General features: G+C 37.0%; 1 annotated feature.

Moving 5' to 3' along the window:
* Positions 4532-4581: an enhancer, noted in NCBI's record as "active region_25675". NCBI's record gives its function as "activates an Ori minimal core promoter by ATAC-STARR-seq in GM12878 lymphoblastoid cells {active_cell/tissue: GM12878}" and the evidence as "EXISTENCE:reporter gene assay evidence [ECO:0000049][PMID:35858748]".

Here is a 4866-nt window from a genome sequence, read left to right as displayed (position 1 = left end):
GAGGCTGAGGTTGCAGTGAGCCAAGATCATGCCACTGCACTACAGCCTGGGCAACAAGAGTGTGACTCTGTCTCCAGAAACAAAACAAAACAAAACAAAACAAAACAAAACAAATAACTAAAAATTGCAAAATGTTTTATCAAACTATGGCAATCAATTTGGTCAACTATCACACAGCCATTCAAAATTATGAATATGAAGACTCTATAGAACATGAAAAATGACATTTTCTCATTTCACAAAAGCTTGTTGAATGCCCTAATTGCCAAATTGTACACATAATGATTAAGAAGCTACAACTCCTTATCTCAAGAAATTCACAGCCCTGTAAGATGGACTTCCTGGAAAACGTTTCGGGGTCATGGGGTGCTGTGGTAGAAGGTGGGGATTAGTGGCACGTGAAGCTGAAGATGTGGGCAAAGACCAGCTCACAAAGGGCTGAAAGATTAATGTGTTATTGAGGCATTTGGGCTTTACCTTGTAGCAGCAGGGAGCCCCTGGGGTGTTTTTAAGGTGAGTAGTTTTGCTTTTATAGATCAGTTTGGTAGCAAGATAGGGATTGTTGTTTAACAAGCCCTGAGGCCAAGAGATTAATTAAATAGGCCTGGTAAGAAATGACTTGAGCCTGAATTAGAATGATGGCAATGGGAGTGGAATGGGGGAAGAGATTCCAGGGATATATAGGAAAAGCAGAGTCAATGGAATTTGATGATAGATTGCCTACAGAGGCTAAGAGAGAGATAAAACATTAGAAAAAGACTCCTAGGTTTCTAGCTCAGTTGCTTTCCAGCAAAGATACAGAACAGAGGAGCAAAGAAATTAATATGAGGGATTAGGTAAGCAAGAAAAAGTTAACAAGGGACATTTTGGTAACACGGAGCTAGTAATTACAGAAAACAGCTTCTACCCTAGGGCTGAGGGAAGAAAGAGAAGGAATTGGGGTTTTTAGAGCAAGAAGCTTGAAAGATGCCCTATGGAGTCAGGACAGACTCCCAAGGAATGATGATGAGGCTGGGCTGGGAGGACTGAAGAGGAGTTGGAGACCAGAACAATAGGCACCACAGGGATGAAAGGCTGTTGCTGGGGCCATGCTGACAGAACAGAAAGGTAACACAAGAGTGACTCTGTCCTTCCACCTCCAGGCCTGCCATCTCCCTCAAGCATCTCCTATTTGCAGAGTCCCTACCCGTAAAGGGGAAATGCAGTTTGCTTAGTAGAAGTCCCAGCATTACAGAGTACAGAAGGATGGGTTTAAAGATGAAAAAGTTATTTAGGAAACAGTATCAGAAAGAAGAAAGGCTGAAAACCAGTGACTGAGGTATCTATCTCAAAAGTTAGGAGAAGACACAAAATTAATCAAGAAAAAACATTAAAGATAAGAGCAGTCATTAGTGAAAGTGAAAACCGACATATAATAGAGAAAATCAACAAGGTCAAAAGTTGTTTAAGATAAAACTAGTAAAATTCACCAATTTCTGGGCTGAAGAAAGTATATTACTGCACATTCCATAGGCATTAAAGTGAGAAAAAATATATTAAGAATGACTTGATCCAATACATTTGAAATCTCTGGAAACTAAAAATGAAAGAAATGCTTTTTAAATGTACCAACCCTGGATGTGAAAGCTTGCTAAATCAGGGCTGCTCTGTCATTCTAGAGGAACACTGCTTTTATTTTAATAGAAAGTCTAGGTCAGCTCTAGTACCTTTGGCTCTTCTGAGATGAGTAAATATTCTTCATTAGGAGTATGAAGACATTCATCGTGATATTTTCATACAATGACTACACTTGCCACAGTGAACATGAAGGAATCTTAGGCAGACACAAAAGAGTGTGTCGTGTGTGACTATTTCAAGTTTGAAGGAAGGTAAAACTGGCTGATGAAGATAGAAACTGGACTTGTGGCTGCCTATGGAGAACTAATGCCTGAGATGAGCCATGACAGAGGCTTCTGGAGTACTGGATATGGTCTATATCTGGATCAATATAGTGGTCATAGGGGAGTATTTGATTTGAGAAAATTCCTCAATCTGTACCCTTATAATTTATGTACTTTATGTATCTTATACTTGAAGAAAAATATACTTTAAAAATCCAGTTGGAATAGAGACTAAGAGAGGGATTCTGTCTTGCTGTAGACTAATTTCTTTTCAACTCTTACTTGATTCTACATTGTCTTCTGATTTGCTTCTGTGCTTCCTTCACTACCAGGTCAACAACCTCTTTCACTGGGGAAGACTCGAGGTCTGGTTTGCAGTAACTAGAGATGTTGAAATACAAACAAGACCTTTTAGTTTTCATTAGGAAGGCATTATTGGCTAGATTTCACCTGCCCTGGCTGTTTGTGTTGATCACTGTTACTTTGCAAAGCTATAAACAAGGGAACTGTAAGAAGAGGGGCTTTCCCAATGCCAGGGCACTCAGTGAAGGACATCTGCAAAATTGCTGGTTCAAAATTCTGGTGGGTGAAAATTTTATAAATCTCAGCCTTCAGACAAAAAAAAAAAAAAAAGATACCTCTTGATTGGGCATCTTCCAGAAATCCTTTCTGCTGTGGTTGTTTTCTAGTCTATCACTAACAAATGTCCTCCTGACAAGAGAGCTGAAATTCGAGACTGTCTGCTTGCTGCCGCACTGGGATTTTTGCTGTTTAATTTTTTCATGGCTACTTGTCTCTAGGTGTTGCCTACTTAATAAAAACTTCAGTGGATTAAATTTTTTAAAGTAACTATTACAGAGTAGTCATATAAAAATACTAAAAAAAGACGCCACCAAACAAAATTACATTTATAAGGAACACACACAAATACACACATTAATACTTTTGTAAAAATCCCCAAGCATTTGTTAGCTTTGCTTCCAAAACCTTTAAATTTTGATGAAGTCCACTTTATGTATTTTTCCCTCTTGTTGCTTGTGATTTGGGTGTCATTTAAAAAATAAATTGCCTAATTCAAAGTCACAAACATTTACACCTATATTTTCTTGTAAGAGTTTTGGAGTTTTACCTCTTAAATTTGGGTTTTACATTTTGATTCATTTTGAGTTAATTTTTGTATATGATGTGAAGTAAAGATCCAAATGCATTCATTTGCTTGTGAATATCATCTCAGCACCATTAACATTCTTATTCCTTGTCTTAGCATCCTTGTCAAGAATCAACTGACCATAAATGTGTGAATTTATTTCTGGACTTTCACTTCTATTCTATTGGTCTATACGTCTACACTTATACCAGTACCACATAGTATTAATTACTATAGCTTTGGAGTACATTTTAAAATCAGGAAGTGCAAAATCTCCAACTTGGTTCTTCTTTATCAAGATTGTTTTGGCTATTCTGTGTTTTTTGCATTTCCATATAAATCTTAGAATTAGGTTGTCAATATCCAAAAAAAAAAGCCAGCTAAGATTTTGATAGGAACTGTGTTGAATCTGTAAATCAATTTAAGTATTACCATCTTAACAAATTTGGAAGATCTTAGCAGTATCTTCCAATCCATAAATTTGAGATATTTTCCTATAATAAATAGGTCTTCTTCAGTTTCTTTCATTGGTGTTTTGTAGTTTTCAGTGTGTAAGCCTATATAGTTCCTTTGTTAAATACTAAGAATTTTTTGATGCTATTGTAAATGGAGTTGTTTTCTTAATTTAATATTTGGATTGTTCATTGCTTGTGAGCACATTTTATTTTGTCCAAGAATGAACTTTCAATTTGATTGAAATAGTCCTTAGGAAGTCACTCTCAAATATGGCTTAACAGAAAAGATGCCTTTTATGGCATGAAGAATTTAGTGGGAACAGTAACCCCTCGTAGATAATTTTTTTGTAACTCCTCAAAACTTGAACTTACACTTCTAAAATTGAGTTTAATCTCTTTAGAGGAGGTAGAGTATGCATATACATCTTTGTAGTGTTATCAATGAGACAATCGTGCTAGTACAAATTAAGAGAGGTACACAAAGCATTCATTTCCAGATCATTTTGGAAAATATCTTATTTTTCAGATTAGTCATTGTAACTCCTAAATTTGATTAGTAACTTTCATGTTATCCAGATAGACTGTTATAAGGTATAAGTTGCTTCCAGGCTGGGTGCAGTGCCTCATGCCTGTGATCCCAGCATGTTGAGAGGCCAAGGCGGGAGGATTGCTTGATGCCAGAAATTTGAGACCAGCTTGAGCAACATAGCAAGACCCCATCTCTATATAATAAATTAAATTTTAAAAATTGCTTCCATAAAATACATCTCGGCTATACCCTGAAGATACTTTCATGTCCCAGGGGTATTGTGTACTAAGCATTACGTGTGTCTGGTGAATTTCACAGTTTTCAAATGTTCCTATAAAGTGCAAAATGCATTCGATCAGCAAAAGGATTTTGTTAACCCAACTTCATCTTGTCACTAACCAACATCATTTGTCATCATTTCCAGGGTTGAAACGAAATTTTTGTCTATTTTTTAAGCCAGGATTACTCTATCTTCTGAGAAGACAAAAAGTACCTTTTGCTAAGATTTCCCTATACTGTGGTCGTGTACCAAACAAAATTCTTTAGCTTTACCTGTGTGGAGCTAGAACAATTGGGTAGCCAGCCAGCCTTCTTCTCCTTGCCCACTTGAAGGCTGCAACTGTTAAACAGCACTGCCCTCTTGTGAGCAAACTCCAAAAGGACCAGCTTGAAAAAGTCCCCTCAATTTAAGTGCTGCCTGTCTGTAATAAAAACTGCACTCCAGTCGAAACCTAAATTTTGTGAACCACCAGTTTCTACCACAGGTTCACAGAACCTTCTAGAGATACTCAATTTTCATCCTAAAAGAACAAGAACATTCCCGGCATTCTAATAATCACAATCTTCTCTCTCTTC

This window comes from Homo sapiens, chromosome 7 (assembly GCF_000001405.40).
Source record: "Homo sapiens chromosome 7, GRCh38.p14 Primary Assembly".
NCBI classification, from domain to species: domain Eukaryota; kingdom Metazoa; phylum Chordata; class Mammalia; order Primates; family Hominidae; genus Homo; species Homo sapiens.
This window is presented reverse-complemented; position numbering and strand designations above follow the sequence as displayed.